Source organism: Homo sapiens, chromosome 17 (genome assembly GCF_000001405.40).
Source record: "Homo sapiens chromosome 17, GRCh38.p14 Primary Assembly".
NCBI classification, from domain to species: Eukaryota; Metazoa; Chordata; class Mammalia; order Primates; family Hominidae; genus Homo; species Homo sapiens.
Window position 1 is genome coordinate 29,786,028 of NC_000017.11, and position 19,658 is coordinate 29,805,685.

Below are 19,658 nucleotides of genomic sequence, written 5' to 3' on the forward strand. Positions count from 1 at the left end.
TCTCCTGACCTGGTGATCCACCCGCCTCGGCCTCCCAAAGTGCTGGGATTACAGGCGTGAGCCGCCGCGCCCGGCCCTGTTTACTTCTATAGTTATTTTCCTGGCTATTCCCCGGTCAGCAAAGTGGGTCATCACACAAGAAAAAGTTGAGTTCATAAATATGCAAAGGAAATACTGGCATCAAATTTCATCCATTTATCTTTTGACCAAATAGTGAGACAAACAGGTTGGAAAGGTTCCCTGGCAAAACTCCAGCCAGCCTGCATACTGAGGTGGAGCTTCGGGAAGTTCGCACAATTTGCATGGGGAGGAGCCTGGCCCCTCCTCTTCCTTTGTGAAACCTGGGATTCAAACTGCAAGGCAGGAAGGAACCAGCAGGAATTCTAGCCTTGCAGAAAGTCCCTGTTCCCCCTTTGTTTTCCTTTTTGCCCCATAAATCCCATTATTCTCACCCTTCAATCATCTGTGAGCCTAAATTTTTGTTGCCATGGGACAATAACTCTGTCTTTAGCTGAACTAAGGAAAAGTACTGCAACAATAGTCAATGATATAAAACCTGATTTTCTGTAATTATGTTATCTTTTTATGCCTGTCTTCTGAGAAAAAAAAAATATTGCTGGAGTTCAAATATCACAAAAAGGTGGCCAGCCATGGTGGCTCACACTTGTAATCCCAGCACTTTGGGAGGCTGAGGCAGGAGGATCACTTGAGCCCAGCAGTTTGAGACCAGCCTAGGCAACATAGGGAGACCCTGTCTCTACAAAAATAACAGAAAATATTAGCTGGGCATAGTGGTGCATGCCGGTGGTCTCAGCTACTTGGGAGGCTCAAGTGGGACTGAGCCCATTACTGTATCGCTGCACTCCCGCCTGTGTGGCAGAGCAAGACCCTGTCTCAATCAATCAATCACAAAAAGGGGCTAGTATGGCATAAATACATTGTTTCTTAATTGTGGTAAAATAAACATAAAAATTTCCATCTTAACTACTTTTAAGTGTACAGTTCACTGGCATTAAGTACGTTCACAATGTTGTGCAACCACCACCACTATCCATTTCTAGAACTTTTTTCATCTTCCAAAACTGAAGCTCCGTACCCACTAGGCAATAACTTCCCACTCCATCCATCCCCCAGTCACCATTATTCTGTCCGCATGAATTTGATTATTCTAGGTATCTCATGTAAGTGGAATCATACAGTATTTGACTTTTTGTGATTGGCTTATTTCACTTAGCTTAATGTCCTCATTTTTACCCACGTTGTGGCATGTCAGAACTTATTTCCTTTTTAAAGGCTGAACAATATTCCACTGTACATATAATACCTCATTTTGTTTATCCATTCATCGTTGATGAACACTTGGGTTGCTTCCATCTCTTGGCTATTGTGAATAATGTTGCTATGAACACGGGTGTATGAATCTCTTAAGACCCTGCTTTCAATTCTTTTAGGTATCTACCCAGGAGTCCAGAAGTGGAATTGCTGGATCATATGATCATATTCTATTTTTAATTTTTTGAAGAATCACCATACTATTTTCCATTGCAGCTATGCCATTTTACATTCCCACCAATAGTGCACAAGGCTTCCAATTTCTCCATATCCTCACCAACGCTTTATGTTGATAGTGGCCATCCTAATGGGTATGAGGTAGTATCTCACCGTGGTTTCAATTTGCATTTCCTTAATGATTAGTGATTTTGATTTTTTTTTTTTTTTTAAGAGACAGGGTCTTGTACTGTTACCCAGGCTGGAGTGCAGTGGAACCTTCTTAGCTCACCACAGCCTTTAATTCCTGGACTCAAGCAGTCTTCCCACCTCAACATTCTGAGTAGCTGGGACAGGTGTGTGACACCACACCTGGCTAAATTTTTTTATCTTTTGTAGAGATGGGGTCTTGCCATGTTTCCCAGGCTGGTCTCAAACTCCTGGGCTCAAGCAATCCTTCCTTCTCAGCCTCCCAAGTGCTGGAATTACAGGCATGAGTCACTGCATTCGGCCTTGAGCATCTTTTCATATGCTTATTGCTTATTTGTTTATCTTCTTTGGAGAAATGTCTATTCAAGTTCTTTGCTTATTTTTTAATTGGGTTGTATGATGGTTAATTTTATGTGTCAACCATCAACCTGACTGGGTCACAGGATGTCCAGTATTTGGTTAAATATTATTCTCGGCTTATCTGTGAGGGTGTTTCTGGATAATATTAACCTTTGAATCAGTAGACTGGGTAAAGCAGACTGTCCTCTCCAGTGTGGGTAGTCCTCACTCAATCTATTGAAGGCCTGAATAGAACAAAAGGCTGAATAAGGGAGAAGTTCCTCCTTCTGCCTTTGAGCAAGGACATTGGTCTTCTATTTTCGGACTCAGACTTGGACTCAGCAAATGGTGGACTGAGCCACCATTGGCTCTCCTAGTTCTTTAAGCCTTTGGACTTGGACTGGAACTATACCATTAGTTCTCCTGGGTTTCCAGCCTACAGATCTTGGGACTTCTCAGCCTCAATAATGTAAACCATTTACTTAGAATCAATTTCTTTCTTTTCTTTCTTTCTTTCTCTCTCTTTTTTCTTTCTTTCCCTCACTCTCTCCCTCCCTTCCTCCCTTCCTCCCTTCCTCCCTCCCTCTCTCCCTCTCTCTATATATATCTATCTATCTCTATGAGATACCCTTTTTGGTTCTATTTCTCTAAAGAACCCTGACTAATACAGATATTGGTCCTGAGAAATGGGGTGCTGAGGCTTTGAAACCAGGTAATGGGTAGAAGAGTTTTGAAGTGCATGCTAGAAAAAGCCAAGATTGCCATGAAGGGATTGCTAAAGGCAATTCTGGTGAGTGCTCAGAAAGGATAGAGGAGATCTGGAGAAAATGCTTCCATCTTCTTAGAGAATACATAAAGAACCACGAACAGAATATTTGTAGAAATATGGATGGAAAAGCCCTTTCTGACGAAGGCTCAGATGGAAACAAGAAACATGTTAGTGGACAATGGAGAAAAGGCAATCCTTGTTATAAAGTGGCAAAGAACTTGGGCTGGATTGTGTTTGTGTTCTAGTATTTTGTGGAAGGTAGAACTTGCAACAGTGGAATTGGACATTCAACTACAGTGGTTTCTAAGCAAAGTGGTGAAGGAGTGGTTTGGCTCCTTCTGGCTGCTATAATAAAATGCAAAAAGAGAGAAATGAATTGCAGAAGGAATAGTTAAGCAAAAGGGAACCAGAACTTACTTGGAACATTCTCTGCCTGTGCATATTGCAAAAAATGAGAAAGCATGTTTGGAAGGGAACACCAACAGTGTGGCTGACTGACCATATAAGGAGGGTAGTGTTGGTGTGAACCACAGGCCTAATCAGCCATCTCAATAGAAGCCAGGATAGAGAAGGGATTATGCAAACAGAAATACTGCCAGCTAGGACTAAGGGAAACAGAGAAAATGAAATGGAATAAAGGAAGACTGTGACTACGCATTATCCTTCAAGAAAGGGGAAGAAGGATCCCCCCAAAGGCAATTCAGTGATGATCATCAGGGCTTCTACTCTCATCACACCCACCATGGGTGGCGATCAGGGAGCAGGCTGTCTTCACTTCAGTTTCAAAGGCTAGGACCACTGGCAAGCAGAGTTGTGTGGGCAGGGCTCTTGCAGAGAGCCCTGTGGATGGCACTCCACTGAGCTGAAGGGGCAGGGCCACCACATGAAGCAATGAGGGTGACGCTGCCACTCAAGTGCATCTGGAGAGCAGAGCATCAAACCAAGAAGGATTATTTTCAAGTCTTAAGACCTAAGGGGATTTGCCTTGCTAAGTTTTAAACTTATTTGGGACCTATCAGTCCTACTTTCCTTCTGATTTCTACCTTTTGAGATAGGAAATCTATCCTATGCTTACCTCACCATGGTATTTTGGAAGTGCTTAATTTACCTGGTTTCACAGGTTCACAGCTGGAGAGGAATGTTGGCTCAGAATGAATCATTCCTGGTCTTACTTGTATCTGATTTAGATGATATAAAACTTTGGACTTTAGGCTTCAGAACTGATGCTGGAATGTTTTGTCTTTTAAAGATGTTGAGATGGAATGAATATATTTTGTGTATGAGAACATGAATTTTGTGGGTTCCCGGGCAAAATATTATGGACTTAATGCTTGTGCCCCCTGCTAATTCATATGTTGAAGCCCTACCCTCGAAAGTGAGGCGAGGCCTTTGGGAGGTAGTTAGGGTTAGATGAGGTCATGATGGTGAGCCCCCCATGACGTGTCCTTAAAAGAATAGGAAGAGACCAGAACGTGCTCTCTCTTTCTTTCTCCCCACCAAGTAAGAACACTGAGAGAAGGTGGCTGTCTGCAAGCCCGGAAGAACACCCTCACATGAACATTCTGGCACCTTGATCTTAGATTTCCCAGCCTCCAGGACTGTGAGAAATAAATGTCTGTTGTTTCAGCCACCCAGTCTAGGTATTTTGTTATAGTGGACTGACTAGGGTTTTGTTTTTATTGAGCTGTAGTTCTTTATATCCACATTCTGGATTTAACCCCTTATGATTTGCAAATATTTTCTTCTGTTCCATGGGTTGCCTTTTCACTCTGTTGATAGTGTCTTTTGATGCACAGAAGTTTGAAATTTTGATGTAGTCTAATTTATCTATTTTTGTAGTTATGGTTGTTATCTGTGAACAAAGCCATCATAGTTTGGTCTAATTGTACTGAAAGATTTTTTTTTTTTTTTTTGAGACAGAGTCTTGCTCTATTGCCCAGGCTGGATTGCAGTGGCGCAATCTCAGCTCACTGCAACCTCTGCCTCCCGAGTTCCAGTGATTCTCCTGCCTCAGCCTCCTGAGTAGCTGGGATTACAGGCTCATGCCACCACACCCAGCTAATTTTTGTATTTTTAGTAGAGACAGGATTTCGCCATGTTGGCCAGGCTGGTCTCAAACTCCTGACCTCAGGTGATCCACCCACATGGCCTCCCAAAGTGCTGGGATTACAGGTGTGAGCCACTGCACCTGGTCTGAAAGATTATTTTTATGACTTTGTCAATAAATGGCATTTGGTTAAGATTTATTATTATTATTATTATTAATTTTTGAGACGGAGTCTTGCTCTGCTGCCCAGGCTGGCGTGCAGTGGCTTGATCTCGGCTCACTGCAACCTCCACCTCCAGGATTCAACCAATTCTCCTGCCTCAGACACCTGAGTAGCTGGACTACAGGCATGCACCACCACACCCGGCTAATTTTTTGTATTTTTAGCAGAGATGGGGTTTCACCATGTTGGCCAGGTTGCTCTTGAACTCCTGACCTCATGTGATCCGTCTGCCTCAGCCTCCCAAAATGCTGGGATTACAGGCATGAGCCACTGCCCCTGGCAAAAATAACAGATTATTAATGCAATGTCTTCTTTGTTACCTGGAACTGGCCTTTAGTTTTAATGATATGCTGTTTACTATTTAATTTCCTACTACAAGCTACATTTGAACCCACAAACTGACAAGATGAGTTCAGGCATGCTTAATGAAATGATTCAATGCTGGTTTATTCTGTGGTGAGTGATGGAGAACTCTGAACAATCTGTAGCAGTCAAACATACAAAAATCAATCTCTTACATACCGTATAGCTACAAGGGGCATTCAACTGGCAGGTAAGATAAGTTTCTTTGCTTCGAGTCGGACTAAAGCCTTTAGATTTAGAAATAGCTTGGCAAACACACTAAATGTAAGACATTATAACAGATTAGCAAATTTTGATTTTTTAATAGTTGCTACTAGGTTTTTTTCATTTCTTATTTTTATAAGTAATCCTCTTGTGAATAGAAGAAGCCTGCAAAAACCCTCTGCTGGTCAAAGTGACAAAGTATTGCCAAAAACTTAAAAACAGGTCTTTATGATTCTTCTTCTTCCTCTTTTTTTTTTTTTTTTTTTTAGTAAGACAGAGTCTCACTTTGTTGCCCAGACTGGAGTGCAGTTGTGTGGTCTCTGCTCACTGCAACCTCCACCTCCTGGGTTCAAGTGATTTTTCTGCCTCAGCCTCCTGAGTAGCTGGGATTACAGGCATGCACCACCATGCCTGGCTAATTTTTTTTTGTATTTTTATTAAAGATGGGGTTTTACCAGGTTGGCCAGGCTGTTCTCAGACTCTTGGCCTACCAAAGTGCTGGGATTACAGGTGTGAGCCACCGCGCCTGGCCTTTATAGTTCTTAATGGCTTGACAATTCAGTACTGTGAATAAGAGAATGACTTCCATTGCCTCATCATTAGGTAATTTTTTGGAACAACATTATTCCAGTGGATATTGAGTCAATATATAAAGCTTGAAATTGACTCAGAGAGCTTTAAATCTGACCTTCTAGAAAATATAAGAATTATTTTTTCATTCTAATGGGAATATGATTACGATGCCTCTGGTACACATTCAGCTAAAATTTATTTTTGGTTTCTACCTCCTTAGCCCTATGCAAAAGAAGGACACTTCTCTTTGCTAAGAGACACGAGAAATTAAGCCTTAAGCCCACAATTTATGTGTTAACAAATCAGGAAAAAAACTACCGATAATCTCAGTTACTGATGAAAAGGAACTATTTTTATATTAAGTTGTAGTTTACAAGAAGGAGGTATATATCAACAAACACCTGATAATAATAATAATAATTTTTATTATTTTTTGTTTGTTCTTGTTTTTGAGACGGAGTCTCGCTCTGTAGCCCAAGCTGGAGTGCAGTGGCGCGATCTCGGCTCACTGCAAGCTCCGCCTCCCGTGTTCACGCCATTCTCCTGCCTCAGCCTCCTGAGTAGCTGGGACTACAGGCACCCGCCACCATGCCCAGCTTATTTTTTGTATTTAGTGGAGACAGGGTTTCACCGTGTTAGCCAGGATGGTCTTGATCTCCTGACCTCGTGATCCGCCTGCCTCGGCTTCCCAAAGTGCTGGGATTACAGGCGTGAGCCACCGCGCCCGGCCTGATAATTATTAAAGCAGCATTCCCTTTAGCCAGCTTCTTCACAATGAGCATGCTTATTGATCCTTTCTCTGTATCATCTAGAATGGCTCATTTGAGTTCAGAGGATACAAGTTTGGTAACATTGAAATGACCATCTAGAACTTACCAGGCCTGTTTCTTGTGGGAGGGAGTTACTTTTAAAAACCCTTAAAGGAGATAAAATAAATGTTATTTTATACTTCCTAGATTTCTCTCACAATTGTTTTCTTTTAATGTTACTGGGTACTGGCACCCTTCTAACAACATGCCCACTATTCCATGAGAAGAGGGTAAAAATATTTCATTGCATTTTAAAAGATTAGGTAGGTTACTCAGTATACTTACTCAGTATACCCTTTGTATAGAAACAAAGTGAAATATTTACCAATCTGCAAGAATTGCCAAAATTTATCAAATATGAATGACAAATTAAGTACAAAACTGAAGGCTGAAATGTTCTTCAGTTGATATTTTCCTGAAAGGTAAGGAAATTTTGCTTTTTTATTACCCCCAAGATAATTCCTTGGATGCTTGGGTGAAAACTGAGCCAAAATTGACCTTTCTGCCTCTTTTTAAACCAATGTACCATTGAAAAATCTTTCTGAGTCAGTAACTGGATTCCTAAAGCATTCGCTCTTACTCTTTTTTTTTTTAAAAAACGGAGGAAGGTCCTGATACGTTGTCTCAAACTCCTGGCCTTAAGCAATCCCAAGTAGCTGGAATTACAGGCACAAAATACCATGCCCAGGTGCAATCTGGTTTCTTGAGAGACCAAGGAAGCACGTTGAAAAACAAGGATAAGCTAATCTGATAAGACTGAAAAAGAATTAGAGAAAAAACAATAACTACTACAAAAATATCCTACAACAAAAATGCCGTAGGATATAATGAACAAACATACCTCCTGGGCTGTGACCGGCATTCTTCCTCCCCACTGTCTGCCTCCTGTATAGACAGAAAATGAAAAAAAAAATTAAAACCTGAGGTTTCATATCATAATATCACTAATATAATTTTACTAAGTTTCACATGTTGTGTACTTGAACTAAATTACTCATGTTGTATACTTGAACTAAATTCTCTTCAAAAAAAGTGACTTCAACCAACCCAGGAAGTTGATGTCAATAGAACTTACTCCTGGAGGTAACTTCAACAGTAGTCCATGAACAAATTTCATTGACAATGAAGTGCTATTCATTAAAACAATTACCTCCAAAAACCAACTAAACATGTTATTTTACTGTTATGCTACTTCAGCTTCAAAACGAGTGGGCATTCTGACTACCACCAATAAATCTCATCAATATAACCTATTAATGATTCTGACCCCCAAAGAACAACCTAAACAATGAACACCACTTAAAAGAGAGTGCTCATGATCAAATCACCATCAACATCAACATAATGGCTACCACTTGTTGAGTACTTACAATGTGCTAGGCACTGTGTTCCTCAATTTAAGTACATTACTGTACTTATTCTTTATAAACCCAGAAGGTTGATGGTACCAATTATTTTTAATTTATTCAAATACACACAGTAACATAGGATAAATCAATGTCATATAAAAGCACTGATGGTTAATGACCCACCCAGGGATGCCAAACAATGATGACAACAAAAAGCACTGAATCATAGTTCAATTACAATATTTATTTCTTCTTAGTGTGGCACATAAAATAATAGAAAGTCTTATAACTTATGTCAATTTAGACTCAATGAATATTTTACAGATGAAGAAGCAAAAGGGAAATAAGCTGTCCAAGGAGACTCATGTGGTAAAGAATTAAAACGAAGAAATATTGACTCCCAGCTAGCTGAAAAAGCTTATCATTTACCTCTCCTTGCCCTGGGTTAAAAATTAGTATATGTTATGATATTATACTGATCTTCACAGAGGCAAGAATATTGACATGAAGGAAAAGTGAGGAAAGATGAAGAGGCTTTTTCTTTAAATTTGCTCCCTGACAATTTGTATTTGTTCTCTCATCACTTTTGCCCTATCTGGCAAACACAGAACTATTAGGTAGAAGGAGAAAAATAATCTCAGAGAATATGTGTACTGTCTGCCCAACAAGTCACCTGCATTTTCATTTATGAAGCCATCCTCATCTACCTTTACATCATTCTGCCTCCTTTCCTGGGCAACCAAGCCTAGCTCTGTAACTTTCATTCCCATGTAGCTGGAATTACAGGCACAAAATACCATGCCCAGCTGCAATCTGGTTTCTTGAGAGACCAAGGAAGCACGTTGAAAAACAAGGATAAGCTAATCTGATAAGACTGAAAAAGAATTAGAGAAAAAACAATAACTACTACAAAAATATCCTACAACATTTCATTATTCATTTCAAACATGTCTTTCTCTCTGTCTCTCTTTTTTTATTTTCCACAAAGGAAGAACAAAACAAAGATTCTGCTTCCAGAAGGAGTACAGGTAGAAAGTGTCATAGTGTATTACACTCTTTGCATATAAGAGAGAGGTTTTAGGTTAGAAAGGTATGCCCTTTAGAGACTGAAAAAAGGTTTAAAATGGGAAAGAGCTGTCTCTAGAATCAATAATCAGAACCTGGAAAGTTTGCAAGAATGAAAATAAAAGACTCAGATAAACAAATGTAAATGTTAGATTTTTGTGCCCAAAGAACTGTAATAAATAGAAATGATTTCCTGGAATATCATTTAACAAAGAGTGCTTCAGTACTGTTATTATTAATAGATCTCAAATTATAATGCAGTCTTCTCACATTTTTTTCCTTATCTTTTTTTTAGACGTTGTCTCACTCTTGTCACCCAGGCTGGAGTGCAGTGATGCGATCTCGACTCACTGCAACCTCCACCTCCCAGGATAAAGCAATTCTCCAGTCTCAGCCTCCCAAGTAGCTGGGACTACAGGTGCCCGCCACCATGCCTGGCTAATTTTTGTATTTTTTAGTAGAGATGGGGTTTGGCCATACTGGCCAGGCTGGTCTCAAACTCCTGAACTCAGGTGATCCACCCCCATCGGCCTCCCAGAGTGCTGGGATTATAGGCGTGAGCCACCGTGCCCGGCCACATTATTTTTTAATTGCATTAAATATTATATAAGAATATGTTTAACATATAAGTTATGAGGTACAATAACAAAATTAATACCTATGAACACCATTCCACCTAAGAGCTATAATAGTACCAACACTGTTGCTTCTGTTTGCCTCTTATTTCCCATTCCTCTTTCTATTATGTGACTACTATCCCAGTTTATACTTTTTTTGTTTCCACCTCATTTTATTATTTAAAAAATTTCAAACATAAAATTGAAAGATCTTATAGCGAACTTGTATATCTACCATCTAGATTGTATCATTAATATTTTCTATACTTTTTTTTGAGACGGAGTCTCGCTCTGTTGCCCAGGCTGGAGTGCAGTGGCGCAATCTCAGCTCACTACAACCTCCACCTCGTGGGTTCAAGTGGTTCTCCTGCCTCAGCTTCCTGAGTAGCTAGGATTACAGGCATGTGCCACCATGGCCTGGCTAATTTTTGTATTTTTAGTAGAGACGGGCTTTCTCCATGTTGGCCAGGCTGGTCTCGAACTCCTGACCTCAGGTGATCCGCCCACCTCGGCCTCCCATGGTCTAGGATTATAGGCGTGAGCCACCATGCCTAGCCAATATTTTCTATACTTTTTAAAAATCATATGTTTATTCATCTATCTGTCCATCTATCCATCTTATTTTTTGGATGCATTTCGATTTAAGTTACTGATATCAGTACATCTGCCTTTAAATGCATAATAATTAATTAGAATTCAGTATTTCTTTATAGTTTTTTCCTTTCTTTTTTTTTTTTTGTTTAGAGATAAGATCTTGCTCTGTCACTTAGGCTGTAGTATGTGCAGTAGCATTATCACAGCTCACTGCAGCCTCAAACTCCTGGGTTCAAGCAATTCTCCTGCCTCTCCCTCCTGAGTAGCTAGGACTACAGATGCACACTGCCAGGCCTGGCTAATTTTGTTCTTTATTTTTAAGTTTTTGTAGATACGGGGTCTCACTATGTTGTTCAGGTTGGTCTCAAACTTCTGGTCTCAAGTGATCTTCCTGCCTTGACCTCCCAGAGTGCTGGGATTACAGGCATGAGCCACCACACCTGGCCAGTTTTTTTTTTTTAAGGTAAAATTTATATACAATGAAATATACAAATCTTAAGTGCGCCATTTAATGAGTTTTGACAAATGTATGTGTCTACGTAATTCAAACTGCTATCAAGAAATGGAACATTTCCATCACCTCAGAAATTTTTCTCACAGCCATTCCCAGTCAAAATGTGGCACCACCCACTCCTGAGGCAACCCTGTTCTGGTTTTCCACCACAGATTTTTGCCATAAAAAATTAGTACACAGGATATGATTCCATTGTTCATTAAATGGGATTATATACTATGTACTACTTTATGGGAAGATTTTTGAAAAATATTCAGCATAATGTTTTCGAGATTCATCCCACGTTGTTGCATAAAATAGCAGTTCATTCCTTTTTATCGCTGAGGATTCCATCACATGAATATACGAGTTCATTTATTTATTCTCTTATTGATGGATACATTTGGGATATTTGAGTTTTTGCCTATCACGAACAAAGTTATTAGCCAGACATGGTGGTTCATGTCTGTCATCCCAGCACTTTGGGAGGCTGACGCAGGAGGATCACTTGAAGTCAGGAGTTTGAGACCAGCCTGGGCAAAATAGCAAGACACAGTCTCTACCAAAAAAATAAAATAGTTAGCCAGACATGGCACCTGTAGTCCTACTCTGGAGGCTGAGGTGGGAGGATCGGTTGAGTCCAGAAGTTTGAAGTTGCAGTGAGCTATGATCACGCCACTGCATTCCAACCTGAGAGACAGAGTGAGACTCTAAAATTAAATAAATAAATAAAGCTATTATATGAATATTCTTTTGTGAAGTTTTTTTTTGGGGGGGATTGACATAAGTTTTTATTTCTTTTGGGTCACAAGACAGAGGCATGTATAGTTTCATATAAAATTGCCAGGTCTTCTCCCAAAGCATTTACACCGCTTTATACCCTCATCAACAATGCGTGAGAGTTATAACTTAACTCTAATTGGCAATTCTTTTCCCCTATGGTTATTGTTTTCAGGTTCTTAAAAACCTTTGCCTACCCTCTAGTCATGAACATATTCTATCATTTTTTCTTTCTTTCTTTTTTGAGAAAGTCTTGTTCTGTTGCCCAGGCTGGAGTGCAGTGGTGGGATCTCGGCTCACTGGGTTCAAGCGATTCTCCTGCCTCAGCCTCCCAAGCAGCTGAGATTACAGGCGTGTACCACCGTGCCCGGCTAATTTTTGTAGTTTTAGTAAAGGTGGGATTTCACCATATTGGCCAGGGTGGTCTCGAACTCCTGACCTCGTGATCTGCCCACCTCAGCCTCCCAAAGTGCTGGGATTACAGGTGTGAGCCACCGTGCCCAGCTCAATCTTTTATATTTTAAAGAATGTCTCTTTAAAGATATCAATAGGCCATATTTTTGGCATATTTGAATTTTTACAGAAAGAACATCATAACCATTATGATTATTATCGTTATGCATATTACATAACCTCATTGAGTGTTTATTCTACACTAACACTGTTCTACAAATGTGAGACAGCATTATAATTATCCCATTTTAGGAATGAAGAAATTGAGGTACAAACTGGTTGTTGCTTTTTGCCCACAGACAGCATTTGAACCTTACTTTATCCATTATGACAATCTTTGCCATTAACTGTGGTGTTTAGTACGTTAACATTTAATATAATTTTTGATATTGTTAGATTTGTGTCCACCATGTTACTATTTATTTTCCGTTTGTCGCCTGTATTTGTATTCCTCTGTTCTACCTTTTCTGCCTTCTTTGGTATTATTTGAATATTTTTTAGAATTTTGTTTTAACTTGCCTATTGGGTCTACCTCTTTGCATTATTTATTCCCTTGTTTTTTAAAAAATTACATATGCCTACATTCTTAAACAATGTATTACTCATTTTTGATTGTTTGAGGGCTTAAAAACTGTGTTATACTGTGTGTAGTTTTCCCAATATGCTTTTTAAAAACTAAATATTATCCTGAAAAGATTCATCTACTTATTACATATAGCTATAGTTCACTCATTTTTGATGGGGTAAAATTCGAATATATCATAGTTTATCCATTCTATTTACATAGACTAGATTGTTTCTATTTTTTTGGTGACATACACAATGCTGCTATCAGCATTCTTGTACGTGTCTTTTGGTGTACATGCAAAATATATCAACAGTATATATACCTATGAGTGAAACTGCAGGGTCATAGAGTAAATAAAGGTTCAACTTTACAAGATAGTACCAAATTATTTTCCAAAGTGGTTGTACTGATTTATACTCTCACCAGAAAGAGTAAGAGTTTTAGTTGATCTAAATTCTAGCCAACACAGGATCATCAGATGTTTTCTATTTTTGCCAGTCTAATGTTTTATCTCATTATGGTCTTAATTTGCTTTGTCTTGAGATTAACTAATGAGGTTGGGCATCCTTTCATAGGTTTATGGGCTACTACTAGTTTCATAGCCTTGCCCTTATTTCTAAAATAAGCACACCAAAAGAAGGATAATTCAAATTATTTTCAGTTTTTTGGTGGATTTTTCTACCTATGAGAATTGTGATGAGAATATGTGGATAAGTAAAAAGCAAAAACACCCCTGATGCTTTCTTATAGGGCACAAGCAGCCAAAACCAGTTATGTCTACAGGGGTGAACTACATTTATTGAGTACTACGATGGGCTAGGTACTTTATATGTTGTTTCACTGAATGGGTACCACACCCTATGGGACTTATTCAAGGTCATAAATGGTGGAGTCAGGATTTGAACGTGGGTCTATCTTTCTGCTATAATCAGCTGCATCTAAACTAAAAATCTTACTTTGATACTTATAACCCAAGATGGCAATTCAGAGGGAGCTGAAGAAGAAGGAATATCTTTTTTCATGGCTTTTAATAAAGTAATATCCTTTGCATCTTTCCTCTATGACTTCTACACTTCAAAGTAGTGCCAAAAGCGTAGAAAATTCCTTTGGCTCCCCCAAAAAGCAAATCAGAACAGTGTTTTTAACACAAGATCCCCAAATAATTTTTTCTTTCTTTATGTTTCAATAGCCAGCCAAATGAATAATTTGCTTTCCCTTCTGTTTACTTCGAAAAAAAAACTTGAGGGAAAAAAAAACTAAGCATATCAAAGCATTGTAGGTCTTAGGGTAAAATGGATTTAAAAGGAATGAAAAAAATGTTCAATTATGTTAATTTCAGCAGAATTCACCGCCAAAAAAGCAAAGACACAACATTTCTTATTTAATAAGAGTAACTATCGGGTAATGCAGTTATCTTGAACAATAGCATTCAAATGGTAGCTGAAGGTGGAATGCTTACCATTCTATTCTAACAAGTGCAGAAACCAGATATAACAGCCTTTCTTGTCAAGTAACTTCACACATTGTTACTGAAAAATGCCAGTCAATCTCTTCAAAACATTGGAAATTACCAGGAGAAAAGTGTAGAGACAGCTCTTAGTTTCTTAGTGAACAGAATAATTTCTGATACATAACGAGAATATCTAAATTAAATAATTAAATAATTAAATAAATTACTAAATGTTTAATTAATTAAACATTTAATTAATTTAATAATTAAATGACTAAATATTTGTTGGCTTTTTTATGATCAAATTTCCAAGAGCCCTATTGTTAAATAGCTTTTAAAGAGTATAATTACTTCTTATGTTCTTAAGAAAAAATTGACCTAGAAACAGTAAGGTATTACATTTAATTTTAGGGTGTTCAGGAACCATTAAGTCTTTTTTTCTTTTTTTTTTTCTTTTTTTTTGAGACAGAGTCTCACTCTGTTACCCAGGCTGGAGTGCAGTGGTGCGATCTCGGCTCACTGCACCCTCTGCCTCCTGGGTTCAAGCGATTCTCATACCTCAGCCTCCCGAGTAGCTGGGATTACAGGTGTCTGCCACCACCCCCTGTAATTTTTGTATTTTTAGTAGAGATGGGGTTTTGCCATGTTGGCCAGGCTGGTCTCAAACTCCTGACCTCAAGTGATCCACCTATCTCAGCCTCCCAAAGTGCTGGGATTACAGGCATAAGCCACCATGCCTGGCTCCATTAAGTATTAATTGAAAGATTAATGCATTCTTATTAATCTGTTTACTACCTGATCATAAAAACAGGTCACTAAATAAAATATGTCTGGAAAATATAGAAGCACTGAAGTAATATTTGCTGAGAAGTAGGCTTGGTGGAGGGAGATGCTGTCAGCCTTGAACACTGGGCTAGCAGAGTGTTAAGCAATATTTTCCCAAATCTTATCATTCAAGATTCTTTACACTTTCTATTTGCTCCAATCCAAGTCATCTCATTTATCATTCTCCAAACGTACCTATTGACTTCCTTTGTTCATGCTGTTGTATCAACCTAGAAAGCCCCTCTCCCCTCTCCTATATTCTTTTCCAGTCTTCAAAGCTAGTTTCAAACACTAGTAGTTTGTGACATTTCTTTTATCACCTGACTGATGCTCTCTGTCTCCCTCCAAACCTAACGGTTGCTGTGCATCATTTTTGCGACACTACCAGTTCTGTTTCTGGGTTACAACTGGGTACTTGTTTTATCTCCCATCATCAGATTGTAATCTCCTTAAGGGCAGGAACTATGCCTCATTGCCCTTTGCATCTCACTCTGTGTTTAGCACAATGCCCTATGTGCAGATGGAACTCAATAAAGGGTCGAATGAGTGACTGGAGCAGCTAACTAATGCCATGTGAATGCTTGAAGCTAACTAGCTATACATTTTCTGCTAGTAAGGACTCTATGCCAGTTACATTTTAGCCTTACCAGGTTAAAAGAATGGTTTTTGTTGCTCAGGAGTAGCCTGTGGCTAAGATCTGGCAGTAATACCTTAATACCTTACCCAAAGACTATCCTTTTGGTTAAGCAGACAGAATCATTTACTTGATCTCAATTTTTAAAACATATTATTTTTTTTGAAAGATGAGGTCTCGCTATGTGCCCAAGCTGGTCTTGAACTTCTAGCTTTAAGCAATCCTCCCACTTCAACCTCCCAAAGTGCTGGGATTACAGGTGTGAGCCACTGCACCCAGCCCATCTGCTCTCAATTATATATTCATTCATTCTCATTCATTCATTCATTCAACATTCATTGACTACCTATTATGTTTTAGATACTAGGCACCAGGGAATGAAAGTAAGCACAACTGTCCTTATTCTTAAACAGTTAGTATTGTAGTGGGGGAGACAGTTCCATAAAACAGAAATTATAACGATATGTCATTTAGGCCTACAGCAAAAGGACATACAAAATGTTATAGAAGCAACAGAGGAAGAAGTGACTAACTATGGTGTTGGGAAATCCTTCACAAAAGTTAATTTTTTGGCCGGGCTTGAACTAGTGGGTTTTTGTCAGATGGAAAATAAGAGTATTGGCCAGGCATGGTGGCTCATGCCTGTAATCTCAGCACTTTGGAAGTCCAAGGTAGGAGAATCCCTTGAGGCAGGAGTTTGAGACCAGTCTAGGACACATAGCGAAACACTGTTTCTACAAAAAAAAAAAAAAAAAAAAGAAAAGAAAAAAAAAGTAAGTAAGAGTATTTCAGGGAGAAGAACAGGCAAAAGAGCTGAAAACTGTAGAAGAATGAGAGTCTGATAAATTTGGGGAAGAGTGAGCAGCTGTGGATTTTTCAAGCAAAGGTACAGGTATTGGGGGTTAAGGCTATCAAGTAATATTACTGTTATGAGTCTGCAATGATGGAAATTCCAAGATAACAGTTCTATGATCAGAAAAGATGGTTATGAATTGTCAATTCACTGGATATCAGATTATCCATCAGTTACCTCAGCCCTTGGAAATAAATGAATAGTAGGAGGTATCTATCAGACAGGAAAAAGGAATCTAGTAGTCTTTCTAAGAGACATATGTGCTTCGAAACTGGAAGAGATAATGCCATGCTTCTGGCTTTTGAAAAAAGCAGATATAAAACACACAGGCTTGAGGAGGAATAAAGGCATCAGGTCTGCCACTTGGCCACTTGAAAGAGAAGGCTTAGATCCACTGCTAGAAACAGAAAAAACAGCTGTTTGGGTTATCTATTGCTTTATAACAAATTACTGCTTTATTATATTTTATGATTTTATGGGTCAGAAATTCAAGCAGCACTTGGCTGGGTGATTCTTCAGTTCTACATGGTATTGCTAAGGGTCATTCAGTGCTATTCAGGTGATATTTAGTTAGCATATGAGCTGGTATGGAGGATCTAAGCAGCTTCATTCACATGTCTAATGTCATAGCCTAGATGGGTGGAAAGCTGGGCTCAACTGGAAATGTAAACTGGAGTGCCTAAACATGATTTCTAATTTATCTTGGGCTTCCTCAAAGCATGGTATCCTCAGGGTTGGTCTTCTTGAATAATGGCTCAGGGCTCCAAAAGGACTAGTCATCCTAAAGGCTAGGCTCAGAGCTGGCATAGTGTCATTTCTGCCACACTTTATTGGTGTACCAAAAAAGTCCAACACAGATTCAAGGAATCTGTGAGAGGAATTAGATTCCCTTCGCACAATAGCAGAAGTAACAAGAATTTGCAGCCATCTTTCGACCCTGGTGATTAATTGAATAAGTAGACAAAATTAACAGGACAGAAAAACAGGTAGTTAATGACAGTGAATGAAGTAGAGCTCCTAAAGCCTAGGGCCATAGAGCTATTTAGGAGGGCAAAGCAGCTAACTCTTAGGTCAGTGCAAGGAGGACTGAAGGCCATATGGATATTTTTACAGGTTAATGTCTATAAAGAAGTGTTCTCTTTATTGGGAGGCTAAGGACAAGAAAGGACCTGCAAGCATGGCAGTAAAGACACACAGTATGGTCCAGGACCAGAGTGAATACCTAGGCACTCATAATCTGAGAAAGCTGGTTTGGAAGAGGCTCAGACATGATCAAATCAGTAGTTCCCATATAATCTGACCTTGTTTTAAAGTCTAATTTAGATCAAGATATATAGTATTGGCTGGAATCAGGAATCAGAGATTCAATTTAATCATATTTTATAGAGATATGACATGCATTAAAGTAAAAACAAAGTCAGAGGATCCTGGAATACTTACAATTAAAATCAAAGTCACATCATGCTCCTATTAATATTATGACAGGGTTTAAGAAACCTTAAATAAACAAACTTTCTTCCCTATAATTTTCAAGCAATAGAAAACCTCTGTGAGACACCTACTATTTCTCTAGTGTTTCTTTTAAACTCCTTTAAAATACAAATAGGTGTGAATCACAGTCAGGATGGTCAGCAACAAGAAAGCGAGCTTGATTAGAATTTTGCTGAAATAGCTTTGATTCTAAAGAAAAAAAAGTCCTTGGACAACAGCTAATTTAAGAGACATCACAGTCCAGTCAATGCCCTATAGAAAAATCTGAGCTCTGGATGTGAAACTGTTACTGGATGTCTTTTGTCTTCAATCCTTATTCCACTTTTTAAAAAGTTATTTAATGTGTGCAACCTAACTCACCCACTTGTGATAATTTCAGAGTTGTTATACAGTCTTTTCTATCACTAGAGATCAAATTCATTGGTTTTAGAAAGCAACAAGTCTTTGTTGTTGTTGTTGTTTTTTGAGCCAGGGTCATGCTCTGTTGCCCAGGTTGGAATGCAAAGGCACGATCATAGCTCACTATAACCTCAAATTCCTGGGTTCAAGTGTTCTCTCGCCTCAGCCTTCATGAGTTCACAAGTAGCCAGGACTATAGGTGCATACCACCACATCTGGCTTTTTTTTTTTTTTTTTTTTTTTTGAAGGGGGAAGAGATGAGGTCTAACTAAGTTGCCCAGGCTGGTCTCGAACTCTTGGCTTCAAGTGATCCTCCCACCTCGGCCTGCCAAAGTGCTAGGGTTACAGATATGAGCTACCACACCTGGCCATAAAAGGCAATAAGTCTTACAGTGTTCTGAACCTGTCACATCTGACAGGCATGCAATATGGAAACTTCACAAGTCACTGGTTACCTCTGGGTCCCTTTTAGAACTTTTTTAGTAACAAAAAGCTCCAGGCCTCATGCCTATAAATTATTATTATTAATATTATTATTATTATTATTTTCGAGATGGAGTCTCATTCTGTTGCCCAGGCTGGAGAGCAGCGGCCTGATCTCGGCTCACTGCAAGCTCTGCCTCCCGGGTTCACGCCATTCTCCTGCCTCAGCCTCCCGAGTATTTGGGACAACAGGTGCCACCACCACGCCCGGCTAATTTTTTGTATTTTTTAGTAGAGACGGGGTTTCACCATGTTAGCCAGGATGGTCTTGAACTCCTGACCTCGTGATCCGCTCACCTCAGCCTCCCAAAGTGCTGGGATTACAGGCGTGAGCCACCATGCCCGGCCCTCATGCCTATAAGTTCTTATTCTTTAGCTCTGACGTTGGTCCGCTGGTGTGCTGGAGCTGGCTAGGTTGTTAGATAACAATTGTTACATTTTTAGGAACCTTGTGAGACACGTCGGTAGCCAAGGCGGATGTGTTTATCAGCAAAATCAGCAAATGCCACACATGAGCCCCTGCTTAGAAAACAGGCTTTTAAACATTTACTAGCATACAACAAGTTGTGGGGCCTCGGA

General features: G+C 39.2%; 1 protein-coding gene across 10 annotated transcripts in view; it reads right to left on the bottom strand.

The window, feature by feature from the left end:
• The window catches only part of SSH2 (slingshot protein phosphatase 2), a 304,291-nt gene that overhangs the window by 160,090 nt on the left and 124,543 nt on the right, over window positions 1-19,658 (bottom strand). For all 10 annotated transcript variants that reach the window (XM_047436967.1, XM_005258058.4, XM_047436968.1 and 7 more), the window contains one exon: window positions 7,867-7,910. In XM_047436967.1, the coding sequence (XP_047292923.1) occupies window positions 7,867-7,910 (44 nt within the window). Of the gene's footprint in view, window positions 1-7,866; window positions 7,911-19,658 lie in introns of those variants that run through there.